This window comes from Homo sapiens, chromosome 16 (assembly GCF_000001405.40).
Source record: "Homo sapiens chromosome 16, GRCh38.p14 Primary Assembly".
Taxonomy (NCBI): Eukaryota; Metazoa; Chordata; class Mammalia; order Primates; family Hominidae; genus Homo; species Homo sapiens.
Window position 1 is genome coordinate 16184948 of NC_000016.10, and position 16622 is coordinate 16201569.

General features: G+C 51.1%; 1 protein-coding gene across 8 annotated transcripts in view, besides 2 other annotated features; it reads right to left on the minus strand.

Moving 5' to 3' along the window:
* Positions 1 to 16622, minus strand: part of ABCC6 (ATP binding cassette subfamily C member 6) — a 73930-nt gene that overhangs the window by 35383 nt on the left and 21925 nt on the right. For all 8 annotated transcript variants that reach the window (NR_199643.1, NR_199642.1, NR_199641.1 and 5 more), the window contains 6 exon segments: positions 13074 to 13235; positions 7883 to 7975; positions 5217 to 5420; positions 3884 to 4027; positions 2177 to 2264; positions 12 to 87 (listed from right to left, as the gene is read on the minus strand). Coding sequence is in view for 4 of the 8 variants with exons in the window: in NM_001440310.1 (NP_001427239.1) it covers positions 12 to 87; positions 2177 to 2264; positions 3884 to 4027; positions 5217 to 5420; positions 7883 to 7975; positions 13074 to 13235 (767 nt within the window). In the remaining 4 variants the exon portion in view is untranslated.
* Positions 1453 to 1626: a silencer, noted in NCBI's record as "fragment chr16:16280257-16280430 (GRCh37/hg19 assembly coordinates)". NCBI's record gives its function as "represses an EF-1alpha promoter that drives an FKBP-Casp9 reporter gene in an ReSE screen in HepG2 liver carcinoma cells {active_cell/tissue: HepG2}" and the evidence as "EXISTENCE:reporter gene assay evidence [ECO:0000049][PMID:32094911]".
* Positions 15324 to 15825: an enhancer, noted in NCBI's record as "NANOG hESC enhancer chr16:16294128-16294629 (GRCh37/hg19 assembly coordinates)". NCBI's record gives its function as "activates a minimal SCP1, AML or CMV promoter by ChIP-STARR-seq in naive H9 embryonic stem cells {active_cell/tissue: H9 hESC(naive)}" and the evidence as "EXISTENCE:reporter gene assay evidence [ECO:0000049][PMID:30033119]".

Here is a 16622-nt window from a genome sequence, read left to right on the forward strand (position 1 = left end):
TCGTTCTGTACCTGTGGAGGCAGGGAGGGCTTTCCTGGGACCAGGCGAAGGTGGCACTGTGTATGGTGATGCAATCCTTCCCGGCAGCTGCAGGGCACAAGAGGCCATTTACAGGAGACCCCTGACCTGGCCGGCCTCTGCATCGGAGAGGCCCCCAGGCACCATCCCCCGCCCCCCCCAGGGGCAGAGGCTGCAGGAAGAAATCTCTCCCACTGAACAAATTGCCCTGCTACTCACTGGCTTGTGGGTGACCCCGCAGGGTTCTTGTTCTGTCCGTGTCCCATGGCTACATAATCCAGGGGGAGGCAAACTGTGGCCCAGAGACCAAATCCTGCCTGCTGCCTTTTCTTATAAATAAAGTTTTATTGGAACACGGCCACATCCATTCATTTCTCTATTTCATGCTTTGAGCAGTTGTGACAGAGACTGTGTGGCCCACAGGCCTAAAATATGCACAATCTGGTCATTTATGGAAAAAGTTAGTGAATTTCTGAAATAAATTATCATCAAATCCCAGCCTTCCCAGAGTGAAGGGGGTGTTATTAATTTCACTGTGGCCGGCACAGTGTCTCATGCCTGTAATCCCAGCACTTTAGGAAGCAGAGGTGGTAGGATCACTTGAGGTCAGGAGTTTGAGACCAGCCTGGCCAACATGGCAAAACCCTGCCTCTACCAAAAAATACAAAAATTAGCCAGGCGTGGTGGTGGGCGCCTGTAATCACAGCTACTTGAGAGGCTAAGGCAGGAGAATTGCTTGAACCCAGGAGGCGGAGGTTGCAGTGAACCAAGATTGCACCACTGCACTCCAGCCTGGATGACGGAGTAAGACTGTGTCTCAAAAATACTACTGCTACTACTACTAATTATTATTATTATTTCACTGTGATAACAAGTGTAATTAGATTAGTGGTTCTTGATCCTTAAGACGTAGTTAGAATTGCCTGAAAGATTTTCTAAAAATCAAAGCTCTCATGGCTTAGCCCAGATCAATTAAATTCATCGTCACAATTAGCTGCTATAACGATTAACATGCCCATTTTGGAGATGGGAACACGGAAGCTCAGAGAGATGATCTACTTGTCAGGATCACCCAGCTAGTCAGTGCTGGGGCTGGGATTTGGACCTGGGCAGTTGAATGCCACAGGCTCGGCTTCTTACCACTATGTGGGTGTTTTCCAGGTACACAGTTTGCCCAGGTTCTTCAGTGCAACAAGGGGGAGGGTGTCTTGGCCCGTGGCATAAAAGAAGGATGGGGTGGAGGGGGAAGCCCAGGTAACTTGAGCTTGGTAAGTCTCATCGTGCAATGGTGCTTGAAATGCTGCTATTTTCCAGCTTGATCAAAATGCTGTCATGCTTATTACCTGGGACTTTCTGCATGAGGACAAGGACCTGGTCTGTTAGAGCAGGAGTCCTCAACCCCCAGGCCACAGACTGGTACCAGTCTGCAGCCTCTTAGGAACTGGGCCATACAGCAGGAGGTGAGCGCAGGGCAGGTGAGCAGAGTGTCATCTGTGTTTATAGCCACTCCCCATCACTCCCATCACCGCCTGAGCTCCACCTCCTGCCAAATCAGCAGCAGCAATAGATTCTCAAAGGAGCACGAACACTTGTGAACTGTGCATGTGAGGAATCTGGGTTGCGTGTTCCTTATAAGAATCTAATGCCTGATGATCTCTGTCTCCCATCACCCGCTTTGGGGCCATCTAGTTGACGGAAAGCAAGCTCAGGGCTCCCACTGGTTCTACGTTATGGTGAGTTGTATAATTATTTCATTATATAGTACAATGTAATAATAATAAAGGGCACAATAAATGGAATGTGTTTGAATCATCCCAAAACCACGCGCCTCTCCCCGGTCCGTGGGAAAACTGTCTTCCACAAAACCAGTCCCTGGTGCCAAAAAGCTTGGGGACCACTGTGTTAGAGTGTTCCCTGTTGTACACCCAGGATGGTACAAAGTGGGCGCTCAGTGAGTGGTCGCTGAATGGCTAGCAGAAAGAAGAGCAGCACGGTGCCAGTTTCCAAGTGACACGCAGATGGCGTGATCTGCACGTGTCATCCATTGCCCGCAGCCCCCATCTCCCCCCAGTACTGATGCTGGCTTGCCATTATGGGCTGGGGTGGCCCCCACATCCCCCATCCCTCCCACACCCCTCCTGCCAGACTCAGCACTCACCGCTTCCAGAGGAACTTGAGTCTACGACACCAGGGTCAACTTCTTCCAGGCAGAGGAAGGTGACCAGACGGTCAAAGGACACCCGGGCCTAGGAAAACCGAAGCCGCAGGTCACCCAGCAAGAAGAGCAAAGAACTCAGGTTTTGGGTGTCGGTGTCTCAAGATGTGTGGCAACAGCTTCCTGTCTACCAAGCTCTGTGCATAGGAGGCGTGAGGACAAAGCTTTCTAGTTCATGGGAAACGATGCAACCCGAGTGGTGACCTTGATGGTGGTGATCTCCCACCTCTGCGATCCTACAAATCAGTGACACCGAAGCAAGCCAGCTGCCATTCTGCAGACAAGATCTGGGAAGAGGATGGTGGCTTTTCCAATAAGGTTATCAAGCCATTGTGTGGAACAATTTCAAATGTTGTCCACCTGGGGGCGCTCTCTCCCAGTCACAAACCCATCTTTGGGGAAGAAAGAGACCAGTCGTTAAAATAGAGATTAGGCCAGGTGCAGCGGCTCATGCCGGTAATCCCAGCACTTTGGGAAGCCAAGTGCAGGAGGATCACTTGAGGCCAGGAGTTGGAGACCTGGGGAACATAGCAAGACTCTTTGTTTCTACAAAAAATTAAAAAAATTAGCCGGATGTGGTGGCCCATGCCTGTAGTCCCAGCTACTCAGGAGGCTGGGAGGTAGAAGCATCACTTGAGTCCAGGAGTTTGAGCATGCAGTGAGCTGAGATCGTGCCACTGCACTCCAGCCTGGGTGACAGAGTGAGACACTGTCTCAATAAATAAATTAAATAAATAAATAAATAAATAAATAAATAAATAAATAAGGCGGCCAGGCGCGGTGGCTCATGCCTGTAATCCTAGCACTTTGGGAGGCTGAGGCGGGCTTATTACATGAGGTCGGGGGTTCAAGACCAGCCTGGCCTGGCCAACATGGTGAAACCCTGTCTCTACTAAAAACACAATAAATAAATAAATAAGACTGGGTGCAGTGGCTCATGTCTGTAATCAGCACTTTGGGAGGCCAAGGTGGGCAGATCACCTGAGGTCAGCGGTTCAAGACCTGCCTGGCCAACATGGTGAAATCTCATCTCTACTAAAAATACAAAAAAAAAAAAAAAAATTAGCTGGGCATGGTTGTGCATGCCTGTGGTCCCAGCTACTTGGCAGGCTGGGGCAGGAGAATCACTTGAATCTGCGAGGTAGATCTTGCAGTGAGCCGAGATTGCACCACTGCACTCCAGCCTGGGTGACAGAGTGAGACTCCATCTCAAATAAATAAATAAATAAAAATAAAAAATAAAAAACATGGAGATGGCTCAGGTATGCCGCCGTTTCTTGTTTTCACCATGCTGAAAGGACTAGAGATAGCAAAGGAAGAGAAACAAAATCGCTTTGTATAAAAAAGGGAACTGACATGATTGCTTGTATGTGGAATTGCTGGGCAGATGGACAAGTATGCATGTTCTGAGGTGTGTGTGGAAAGGTCTGCACATTGCCCTCCAAAGGCTGACCCCTTCCAGATGTATTTGCTGTACTCTCTGCCCGCCTCTGTTCTTGCCCCTACCCGCCTCTTTTCCAGCTCCACACCATCCCTCTCCCTCCCACTCTGTCTTCCCTCTCCTCTGCAAATGGCAGGGGTAGGGAAGCTGGAGCCAGGTGTAGCCCACGCACTCTCCCAGGATGGCTCCAGCCCTTGCACCCACCTCACCTGGACGAGGGAGTGGATGGAGAAGGGCAGGAAAGCCTGGGCCTTGTTGAGGATGTTGAGAACTGTGAGAGTCACAAAGGCTTTCTCTGCATTCATAGCATTCTCGGCCACCAGAGTGTGGACAGCAAACACCACCAGTGCGACCTGGGGGGTGGGGGGGACACGTGGGGCAACAGTGAGACACGCAAGCATGGATAGGGCAGCCTGGGCAAGCTGTGGTGCCTGCACGGTCCATGTGGCCCACCCGCCATGTCCGCATGTGCTTCCCTCCGTAGATCCCACTCCCAGTCCTGCTAACACATGTCCTCTCCGCAGTCATAAGCTACATAAGGCTCTCTCTAAAGACACAGCGCATTGCTAATGGTGATGAGTGCGCAGCCCCACGGCTCTAGGCATCACTAGAACCTAGGGGAGAACCTAATGCCTCTAGGTTCCAGGCATCGGGGGACAGCAGAGTTTTTGATCTTGGTAGCCCTGTTGTTCTAGACGTGGTGGAACTTGTGATTCTAGAGTCCCTTGGAAGATGACTCTAAAGTTGCAGGCAGGAGCAGCACTTGAGGGCTCTAGGTGTTGGTGCCATTTGTGGTGCTTTTTTTTTTTTTTTTGAGATGAAGTCTTGCTCTGTCGCCCAGGCTGGAGTACAGTGGCATGATCTCGGCTCACTGCAACCTCTGCCTCCTGGGTTCAAGTGATTCTCCTGCCTCAGACTCCCAAGTAGCTGGGATTACAGGCGCCCGCCACTGCAACCAGCTAATTTTTGTATTTTTAGTAGAGACAGGGTTTCGCCATGTTGGCCAGGCTGGTCTTGAACTCCTGACCTCAGGTGATCCACCCACCTCGGCCTCCCAAAGTATTGGGACGACAGGCATGAGCCACCACACCCAGCCTACGTATCAAATTTTTTAAAACTGTGGTTTAGGAAGGTTGTTCTGACAGCAATATGAAATAAATTACAGAATGGCAGGACAAGGATCACGTCCAGTGACAGGGTGGCTATGGACATCTGCTGGCCAGGATCAGGGAAGTCACTCTGACCCAGGATTCTACCTCTGCCACCCCCCTGCATCTGTACCCTCCTCCCCACATCGGTAGAAGCCTGGAACTCTCTCTGAGAGTTCAGCAGACTTTATCAGCCACTGCCACCTTTGCTAGAATAATATGATTAATTAGTTCTTGTAGAAGACAGCAGGGACCCAGAGAGAACAGGATCCAGAATGAGTGGGTTTTGATGGACGGGGTGGTAGGATCTGGGGGGCTCCACCTACCTCACCCTGCCCCCACCCCCGCACTCCTTCCCCAGTGCTGCTCAGCATAGAGACTAGAGTGACGTCACCAGAAATGTAGACACTTGGAAGGACACCAGCGACACAGAGAAGAGGAGGCCGGAGGTCCGCAAGGCGCCCAGCTCCTGGCCTCGGATGCCCAGGACTCTGTCCAGAAAGGCTCCCTCCCAGCCATGGAACTTGATGGTCTTCGAGTTCCTGAGGATAGAGCTGGTGAGCCGTGCCCGTGAGTCCTTCTGCCTCATTTGCTCCTCCTGGGATCGGAGGGAAAAAGAGAGATGAAGACAGGGACAGTTGAGAACTCTTCCCTGCACCCTGACAGCCACCCTTCAGCAAATCCCATTCATCTCACCAAACTGCGTCCCAAACCTGTCTGCCTCTCAGCACCTCTGACCCTCACTCCTGGTCCAACCACCATCATCCTGTACCTGGACTTCTGCAGGAGTGCCCCTGGGATAATGTGCCCCATGGAGGAAGCCTCTGATGCCCGGAGAACAGAGGCAGCCTGAGCCCACCTGGGTATGACACCATCAGGAAGGCTACCTGGAGGTGGTTGATGCCTGAGCTACGTCTTTTTTTTTTTTTACCTTTTACATTTTTTGTGGAGTTGGGGTCTCACTATGTTGCCCAGGTTGGCCTCGAGCTCCTGGGCTCAAGTGATCCTCTGCCCTCAGCCTCCTAAAATGCTGGGATTACAGCCTGAGCTAAATCTTAAATGACCAGGAAGTGCGTGCTGAGCAGGCAGAGGATGGGGGGATGGAGCTGGAGAAGAGGGAGGGGAGGGGCTTGAGATGGGGGTGGGGGGTGGGGGCTGGGGGGTAGGGGGGTGGCGGGGGCACCTAAAACCCAGGCACAGGGAATAGCATGACTCAGAGGACACTCAGTGTGACCAGAGGAGCGTGTGGGCAGGGTCACTTGGCACTTTAAAGTCAGGCAGAAGAATTCAGGGTCTCCTGTGCTTCACCATGGGGCGGGGGGCATCATCAGAGGGGCAGCTGCCTGGAGAAGGTTTTACTTTTTGAGACCGAGTCTTCCTCTGTCGCCCAGGCTGGAGTGCAGTGGTGTGGTCTCGGCTCACTGTAACCTCCGCCTCCTGGGTTCAAGCGATTCTCCTGCCTGAGCTTCCCGAGTAGCTGGGATTACAGGCGCCCGCCACCACGCCCGGCTAAATTTTGTATTTTTTGTGGAGGCAGGGTTATGCCATGTTGGCCAGGCTGGTTTTGAACTCCTGACCTCAGGTGATCTGCCTGCCTCGGCCTCCCAAAGTGCTGGGATTACAGGTGTGGCCTCCCAAAGTGCTGGGATTACAGGTGTCAGCCACTGTGCCCAGCCTAGAATGTTTTAGAGGAGTCCACGCAGGAGGCTGAAGAAACAGCCCAGGTGACAGACGGACACTGGGACAGCTGGGCCAAGAGAGGAAATAAGTTCCTTCCCTCCATCCCCCATCTCTCCCTCTCTCTTTCCCGCCTTTTCTTTCCTTCCTTCCCTATCTCCTTTCTTCCTCTTTCCTTTGCTTTCTTCCCTCTTTCCTTTTATTTCCTTCCCTCCCTCCCCCCTTTCTTCCTTCTCTCCCTCATTCCTTCTCTTCCGCCCTCAATTCTTTCCTTCCCTCCTTCCCTCTGTCCTTCCTCCCCTTTCCTATCTTTCCTTCCCTCCCTCCTTTTCTCTCCTTCCCCTCCCTCCTTCCTCTCCTCCTTTCCTTCTTCCCTCCCTCCTTTCTTCCATAGTTCACAAACACTTACTGAGAACCTTCTGCCTGCCAAGCACTAACTAGATGCCGAGTTGGCCACAATCAGTGGCCTGTGCTGTTGCAAAGCTTCCAGTTAAGGAAAACAAGGCAATCAACCCTGCCGGGTGCTTCCTGTAGGACCCTGTAGGTTGTGGGAAGTGCTGTGGGGGGAAAAAAGCAAAAACAATCCCAGGGCAGGCAAAGGAGAGGCTGCTGCTGGGAGGGGAGGGATGGACGTGCCATTTCCTTGCTGGAGGGTGGTGAGGGAAGCCGCCCTGACTGCAGGGAGGTGACAGAGGATCTTCGGGAGTGAGGGTGATCCAGGTGGAGGGAACAGCTAAAGCGAAGGCCTGCAGGGATGTGTGAGATCGGGCAGGTTTGAGGATGGGAGATGTGTGGGGAAAGGCAGGGAAGGAGGGGAGATGGGTAGAAGGTGAGGTTGGAAGCAATAAGGCCAGCTCAGGGCGGGCCTGGTGGGCCACTGTGGGGTCTTTGGCTCAGTCTGAGGAAAATGGGGCCGCTGTGGGTCTGAGTAGAGGAGGGGTACAACGTATTTGGTTTGCATAGGTCTCCTCTGGCTGGGAGTGGAGAGAGGCTGAGGGCAGAGGCGGGGAGTGAGCCAGGGGCTTGCTGCTGTGACCTGGGTTAGAGATCATGGGGTTCGGAGAGCCTATGCTGGGAAGTGTGACATTTTGGATGCATTTTGAAGGTGATGCCAAGCAAATCTGCTGACAGATGGGATGTGAGAGAAAAAGGCATTGAACTGACCCAGGGCCTGTGGCCTGAACATTGGAGGGACGGAGCCACTGTCCATTGAGAGGATAGGGGGAGGGGGTGCAGGTCTGAGTGATGGGCAGCTCACAGACGACAAGAACAAAGCCAGACCCGTGGGCTCGCACTCAGCTCTCCCCTCCGCATCTCCCACACCAGGACCTGTGGCTTCCTCCCTACTTCCTGCCTGGTCCGTCCCTTTCCCAAAAGCCAAACCTGATGGTGGTTCCTTTTCTTGGAGATGAAGAAATTCAGAGGGAGGAGGCTCAGGAAGACAGCGATGGCAGTGAGGGCGGAGGGCCCCAGGAGCTGGGGATAGAAGGGGCAGGATGTCAGGAGATCCCGAGGAGCCCAGCTCTCAGAGGCACGTGAACCAGAGCAACTCCATCTTGAATAGGGACTGGGTAAAATGAGGCTGAGACCTACTGGGCTGCATTCCCAGACGGTTAGGGTATTGTAAGTCACAGGATGAGATAGGAGGTCGGCACAAGATACAGGTCACAAAGACCTTCCTGATAAAACAGGTTGCAGTAAAGAAGGCGGCCAAATCCCACCAAAACCAAGATGGCTACGAGAGTGACCTCCCGTCATCCTCACTGCTACACTCCACCAGCGCCATGACAGTTTACAAATGCCATGGCAACATCAGGAAGTTACCCTATATGGTCTAAGAAGGAAAGGCATGAATAATCCACCCCTTGTTTAGCATATCATCAAGAAATAACCATAAAAATGGGCAACCAGCAGCCCTCTGGGTTGCTCTCTCTATGGAGTAGCCATTCTTTTAGATCTTTACTTTACTAAAAAACTTGCTTTTGGCCGGGCACGGTGGATCATGCCTGTAATACCAGCACTTTGGGAGGCCGGAGGCGGGCAGATCACCTGAGGTCAGGAGTTTGAGACCAGCCTGGCCAACATAGTGAAACACAGTCTCTACTAAAAATATAAAAACTAGCCAGGTGTGGTGGTGGGCACCTGTGATCCCAGCTACTCGAGAGGCTGAGGCAGGAGAATAGCTTGAACCCAGGAGGCGGAGCTTACAGTGAGCCACGATCGCACCACTGCACTCCAGCCTGGGTGGCAGAGTGAGACTCCGTCTCAAAAAACAAACAAACAAACACTTGCTTTCACTTTATGGACTCGCCCTGAATTCTTTCTTGCACGAGATCCAAGAACCCTCTTTTGGGATCTGGATCAGGACCCCTTTTCTGTAACACAGCTGCAGACCCCGAAGGTGGTCAGACTTGGGTCCTAAGATGGGGATGTCAGGGAATCTGATAAGGGCAGCCACCAGGTCCCAGGGATCTGTGCTCATGGGGTCTGCTGTGTCAGGAGATGCCTGCTGAAGGTGGGGTCCTTCAATGTCAGGGAGGGAAACAGCCCTCTTACACGATAGGGAGAGAGTTATATTCAAGACAGATTGTGCACACACACGAGTGGGACTGGGGGGTGTTCCCAGCCACAACAGTAAAGTTGAGACCTATGGAATCAGGGGACCTGGTTCAAATCCTGACCCTGAGAGTTTTGAGTGTGGCCTTGGGGCAAGTCATCTCCCTTAGGTGCAATTCTCTTGTCTGCAAAATGGGAATAGAGTTGTTCTCATTTGGCATTTTCTCTTATTGCGTTTAATTATTTTCCTAATCTTCATTTCATCCCTCGCAAGGGTTGTCAGATTTAGTAAATCATCATACAGAATGCCCAGTTACATTTGAAGATAAAGAGTGAATAAGGTTTTAGTCTAAGTCTCGTGAAATATTTGGGACATACACTGAGAAATTCTTCCGTTTGTCTGAAACTCACACTTCACTGAATGTCCTGTGTTTTCTCTGGCAACCCTGCTCCCCCACCAACGTGGTGATTTTGGGATGGTTATCTTCCCCCTCTCGGCTTTGGTTTCTATATCTGGAAAATGTGGAAGTGGGGGGTAGAATAAATGATTTTTAAGTTGCTGTGACTTTCTGAGATTTCTGCACAGGTTATTTGGACCCATTCTCTTGACAAGCCCCACCCCAACTCCAGTCTGTGTGCCTCAGTTTCCCGTCTCAGTCCTTAGGAACACTATGTTTATTTATTTATTTATTTGTTTGTTTATTTTGAGATGGATTCTTGTTCTGTGACCCAGGCTGGAGTGCAGTCTCATGATCTTGGCTCACTGCAACCTCTGCTTCCCAAGCGATTCTCCTGTCTCAGCCTCCTGAGTAGCTGGGATTACAGGCATGTGTCACTCGGCTAATTTTTGTATTTTTAGTAGAGATGGGGTTTCACCACGTTGCCCAGGCTGGTCTCGAACTCCTGGCCTCAAGTGATCCACCCACCTCAGCCTCCCAAAGTGCTGATATTACAGGTTTGAGCCACCCCACCTGGCCTGGGAACACTATTTTCTAACATTGGGCCAGTTTGTTTCATTTATGCGGCAATGGCGCTACCTAGTGGCTCAATGGAGAAGGGCGCAGAGGGTAAACACCAGCCCACAGCAGGGCTTGGAAAAACACTCAAGGAATGTGAGCAGAAGATGAACATCTCTGTCTGGGGGAAAAATGGTATCATTAAACTGTAGCAACCTCAGTGTCCACTCCTCCTTCACCAAGACCTCACGGTGATGTTAGGAACTGTCTACCAAGAGGCAGGAAAAGTACACAAGCAAAGTAACATGGTGCATTATCTATGGATATCTTGTTGGTCTCATCTAATTTTTTTTTTTTTTTTTTTTTTTTTTTTAGAAGGAGTCTCACTCTGTCGTCCAGGCTGCAGTGCAGTGATGTGATCTCAGCTCACTGCAACCTCCACCTCCCGGGTTCAAGTGATTCTCCTGCCTCAGCCTCTCTAGTAGCTGGGATTACAGGCACATGCCACCATGCCCGGCTAATTTTTATATTTTCAGTAGAGACAGGGTTTTGCCATGTTGGCCAGGCTGGTCTTGAACTCCTGACCTCAAGTGTTCTGCCGGCCTTCACCTCCCAAAGTGCTGGGATTACAGGCGTGAGCCACCGTGCCCCGCCTGGTCTCATCTGATTTTTAGCAACGGTGGGGTCAACCTGATCAATTGCCCTGAATTTTCCCATGTTCTTCCTCTCTCCCTCTCTTTCTTCCTAATGATGACATTTATGTACTGCACATGAAGCCCTGTCTGAGTGCCTTATGTTGTAATTGCTAAGCACCTGCCTATTGTTTGCAAGGCCCTGGAATACAAGGTGAAGACACTGGAAAAAGTCCTGGCCCCTAGCCTTAGCAAAAACAATCATATGCATGAGCATTCGAGTTTTTTTTGGAATATTCAGCAATTACAATCAAAATGCCATTAACAGTTTTTACAAGGCCAGGCACAGTGGCTCATGCCCGTAATCCCAGCACTTTGGGAGGCTGAGGTGGGCAGATCACCTGAGGTCAGGAGTTCAGGACCAGCCCAGCCAACATGGTGAAACCCAGTTTCTACTAAAAATACAAAAATTAGCCAGATGTTGTGGTGCACGCCTGTAATCCCAGCTACTCAGGAGGCTGAGGCTGGATAATTGCTTGAACCTGGGAGGTGGAGGTTGCAGTGAGCCGAAGTTGTGCCATTGCACCAAAGCCTGGGCAACACAGTGAGACTCTGTCTCAAAAAAAAAAAAAAAATCAAAAGGATACTATTTCACGACATATGAAAATGATATGCACTTCAAATGTCAGCATCCATAAATAGAGTTTTATTGGAGGAATACCATGCCTGTTTGCTTAGTATGGTCTACAGCCACTTCTGCACTCCAAGGGCAGAGATGAATATTTGCAGGAGAGATGGTGTGGCCTCCAGTGTAAAAAGCATCTACTGTCTTATCCTTTATGGAAAAGTAACTAATGATAATATTACAAATACCTACAGGGTGCAGTTGTGTGCCCGGCACCCTTTTAAGTGCTTTCTACATATGGGCTCGTTTAATGCCTCAGCCCCTCTGGGGCAGGAGTGCTACTGTTAATTATGATCCTCACGTTGGAGACAAGAACAGGAGGCACAGAGAGAGTAGGGTCCTTGCACACAGATTCACAACTGATAAGTGGTCAGAAGGAGGATTTGAGCCTAGGCAGTTCCCGATACAGAGTCTAATTTTATTTTTACTTTTATTTATTTGTTGGAGACAGAGTCTCACTCTGTCACCCAGGCTGGAGTGCAGTGGCATTATCTCAGCTCACTGCAACTTCCACCTCCAAGGCTCAAGCGATTCTCCTGCCTCAGCCTCCTGAGTGGATGGGGTTATAGGCACCCACCACTATGCCCGGCTAATTTTTGTATCTTTCAGTAGAGACGGGGTTGGCCAGGCTGGTCTGGAACTCCTGGCCTCAAGTGATCCACCTACCTCACCCCCCAAATTGCTGAGATTATAGGCATGAGCCACTGTGCCTGGCCCAGAGTCTGATTTTAATTTAAAAAAAGAAAATCCTATACCACAACGTTAAAGGAATGAAGTTGGAAAGTAAATGTTTTGTTTGTTTTGTTTGGTTGTTTCCTGATGGCTACTTTGTGTTTTTTGAACACTAAGTAGCAATTTTTCCCCCTAAAATGTTCTCCTCTTGTGTTTTGTGGACAGTGGCTATGGTGGTGCCTCAGGGTTACTGGTAACTTCAAAACATGGTTAACTTGCCTACTGGGTACCCTAATAGCACATGGGGAAGTATCAACGTCATCATCATCATCTTTCTACAGAGGAAACTGAGGCCCAGAGAGGGTGAACTTCCTGCCCAAGGTCAAGTGAAGGTCATCCTTATTGAGGACTTTTCCCATCGTATCAGACAATAGTAGGCAAATTGAGACAGGATTGGAGGAGGAGGAGAAGGAGGAGATGGGGGTGGAAGGGGAGGAGAAAAAGGAGGAGAGGAAGAAGAAAGGGAAGAGAAGGAGAGGGAAGAGCAGAGGGAAGAGAGGGAGGACGGTAGAGGAGAAGAAGGGAGAAGGGAAGAAGTGGGAGGGAAGATGACAGGGAGCAGAAAGGAAGAAGAAGGTGGAGCAGGAGAGAGGAAGAGGAGGAGGAGGGGGAAGGAGGAAAAGGAAGGGGTGCAGGAAGAGGAGGGGGTGCGTGGGCAGAAGGTGGGAGAGATGCAGGAGGAGGGAGGGTGCAGGGAGGGGTGCAAGAGGAGGGGGGCAGGAGGAGGAGGCTGGGGCAGAGGGAGAGGGGAGGAAGCCTTATGAGCTTCTACACCAGGAATGGAATCCAGGGTGATGAAGGCAGAACAAGGGTAAAACCTTTCATGTGCCTCTCTGACACCAACCTGGTTCTCCCACAGCCTCAGACTTGCCCTAACCCTGGGGTCACAGCGGACCTCTTCCAGCCTCTTGAATGCTAAGTCAGGAGGAGGAAGGGTGGGAGGGGGAAGGAGGAGGGGGAGAAGGAGGGGGTGGGGGACTCCGTTCAAATCCCGTCTTCCTCCTCTGGCATACCTGCCAGAGATAGACGAAGCAGACCACGATCCAGACGAGAGGCAGCCACAGCCCGTTGAGGTAGAGGACGCTCTCGGTCAGCCGCTGCACGTCCACGGACACCAGATTGACCACATCACCCACCGCACTGGCCTTTCTGGAGCCGCTGGACAGAGCCAGGACCTGGCGGGTGGGCAGAAGGAGAGAAGTAAAGTGGGGAGGCCGGGGCAGAGGGATGCCCCAGGTGGCTTCTCCACCCACTGAGCCCCACCTCACACGTCTGCGAGGTGGGTGAGTAAAGTCTCTTAGGCCAACCTCTCAGGGCTCTTTGAGGATCCACAGAGATGACAAAAATGAAAATCCTCCAAGATCCCTAAAGCACGGGAGGCATAATAATGAATAACATGCACGAAAACACCAGATTAACACAGATAACGGTGGTCATCTGCCCAGTGCTCACCATGTCGCAGGCACTGTGCTAAATGAACAGCCTTATCCTTTCCCGGGGTGCTCACAGCCATGAATGGTACCAAGCAGGCACTACCATATTCATTCCCTCTAATGCCAGGCCAGGTGCAGTGGCCTCTGCCTGTAATCCCGCCACTCTGGGAGGCTGAGGTGGGAGGATTGCTTGATCCCAGGAGTTCGAAACCAGCCCGCGCGACATAGTAAGACCCAAGCTCTACAAAATACTTTAAAAAATTAGCCAGGGGGCCGGGTGCGGTGCCTCACGTCTATAATCCCAGCACTTTGGGAGGCCGAGGTGGACAGATCACCTGAGGTCAGGAGGTGGAGACCAGCCTGGCCAACATGGTGAAACCCTGTCTCTACCAAAAATACAAAAATTAGCTGGGCATGGTGGCAGGCACCTGTAATCCCAGCTACTTGGGAGGCTGAGGCAAGAGAATCGCTTAAACCCAGGAGGCAGAGGTTGCAGTGAGCCCAGATCAAGCCATTGCATTCCAGTCTGGGCAACAAGAGCAAAATCCATTTCGGGGGGGAAAAAAGAAAAAATTAGCCAGGCATGGTTGTGGTGCGCCTGTGGTCCTAGCTAGCTACTGGGGAGGCTGAGGTGGGAGGATTAATTGAGTACAGGAGGTTGAGGCTGCAGTGAGCCATGTTGGTGCCACTGCACTCTAGCCTGGGCAACAGAGCAAGACCCTGTCTTTAAAAAAAATTCTATGGATAAATTGCTCTCTATTATTCTCTCACCAAGGAAAATACCACTTCCAGTTAAATTAAGACATGTAAGAGACATCTCGATTTTGGAAGTATTAGAGTGAAAAAAAAATGTGAGACGAGAATCAATGAAATGAACATTTACTAACCCCATTCTATGGCTAAAGAAACTGAGGCAGAGAGAAGTTGAGCAACTTGCCCAAAGTCACAGGCCTTGTAAGCTCCTACACAAGGAATGGAATCCAGGGTGACGAAGGCATGACAAGGGTGAGACCTTTCATGTGCTTCTGTGACACCAACCTGGTTCTCTGGCAGCCTCACATCTGCCTTAACCCTGGGGTCACAGTGGACCTCTTCCAGCCTGTTGAATGCTAAATTCCAAATGCAGCCCTCCCTTTGTGACTGCGTGAGGGTGTGAAGAAGTGATCCAGGAATGACTGGACATAGAAATTCTCCACTTAGCAAGTCTTTGAAGAGTGCTCACTGTGTGACTCACACTGAGCTGGGAACTGAAAATACAGCTGTGAACAACAGAGATGAGGCTTGCTCTCCCGGGCCTGGAGTTTGAGGTGGGGAACAAGGCTCTATAATAAAGATTTATATAACTGGCCGGGCACAGTGGCTCACACCTGTAATCCCAGCACTTTGGGAGGCTGAGGCGGGTGGATTGCTTGAGGCCGGGAGTTCGAGATCAGCCTGGCCAATATGGCAAAACCCCATCTCTAGTAAAAATACAAAAATTAACTGGGCATGCTGGTGGGCACCTGTAATCCCAGCTATTTGGGAGGGTGAGGCAGGACAATTGCTTGAACCCAGGAGGCAGAGGTTGCAGTGAGCCAAGATTGCACCGCTGCACTACAGCCTGGGTGACAGAGTGAGACTCTGTCTCAAAAAAATAAGACAAAACAAAAATATTTCTAAAACTCATGCTTTAATGGCAGTTATGATGAGTAACATAAAAAAGTAGCCCAGGCTGAGCGCGTTGGCTCATGTCTGTAATCCCAGCACTTTGGGAGGCTGAGGTGGGTGGATCACCTGAGGTCAGGAGTTCGATACCAGCTTGGCCAACATGGTAAAACCCTGTCTACTAAAAATACAAAATTAGCCGGGCATGGTGGCGCACACCTGTAATCCCAGCTACTCAGGAAGCTGAGACAGGAGAATCACTTGAACCCAGGGGGCGGAGGTTGTAGTGAGCCGGGACTGTGCCACTGCACTCCAGCCTGGGCAACAAGAGCGAAACTCTGTCAGAAAAAAAAAAAAAAAAAAAAGCCCAGAGGTTAGAGAGGAGGGATCTGATCTCATCAGGAGATCAAAGAAGGCCTCCTGGCGTGTGGGTGGGGAATAGGAAGATCAATGCCTGCTCACCAGGCGGCCTTCCTCTTAGGCTCAAGGAAATGTGGACTCTCAAGACAGGATAGGGCACACCTAGCTCTGGCATGCTCAGGGGAACAGGAGCCTGGGATGCAGCACTCTGGCAGGAAAGCATCAAGAGCTGCCCTCTCGGCCACCTAGGAGCTGTCCCCTCTGTCCCCTCCTCCCCTAGGTGACAGCTCAGGTGTCAGGGAATGACACTTACATGGGACGGGACCTGCCCTGGCTCAGATGCTCCATACCCCACAGGAGCCAATAGCTCTTGGGGCAGCAGTCCAGGGACTTAGCTTCCAGAGTCCCAGGAACGGACAAGAGCCACTGCACAGAGAGAAGTCTAAAGCTATGGCCTCCAACCAGGTATTCACAGTCAATGGACAGAACTTCCAGCCCAGATGCAATTTGGGTTTTTTTGTTTTGTTTTTTTTTTGTTCTGAGACGAGGTCTCGCTCTCTTACCCAGGCTGCGCTGTAGTGGCGTGATCTCAGTTCACTGCAACCTCCACCTCCCGGGTTCAAGCGATTCTCCTGTGTCAGCTTCCCAAGTAGCTGGAATTACAGGCACATGCCACCATGCCTGGCTAATTTTTGTATTTTTAGTAGAGATGGGGTTTCGCCATGTTGGCCAGGCTGGTCTTGAACTCCTGACCTCAAGTGATCCGCCTGTCTCAGCCTCCCAAATTGCTGGAATTACAGGCGTGCACCACTGTGCCCAGCCTAGGGGTCATTTTTACCCCAAGCAGTATTGTCTGGGAACACAGCTGACAGGCCACCTTATCAGAAGGTTAATCCTTTATCCTCAAGGGGGAATGAGTGGAAGTTAAAATCAGGCTCAAAAATTAAAATTAGATTGGGGGAGTAGAAGTGGTGCCTAGACAGTGAGAACAGCTGCAAAGGCCCCAGGGTGGGTGGGGGCCTGGAGTGTTTGAGGAACTGAAAGGAGACCTGTGTGGCTGGAGGAGAGTGAGCATGGGAGGAGGTGACGGGATGAGGTCAGAGACACCCTAGGGACAGATCACAC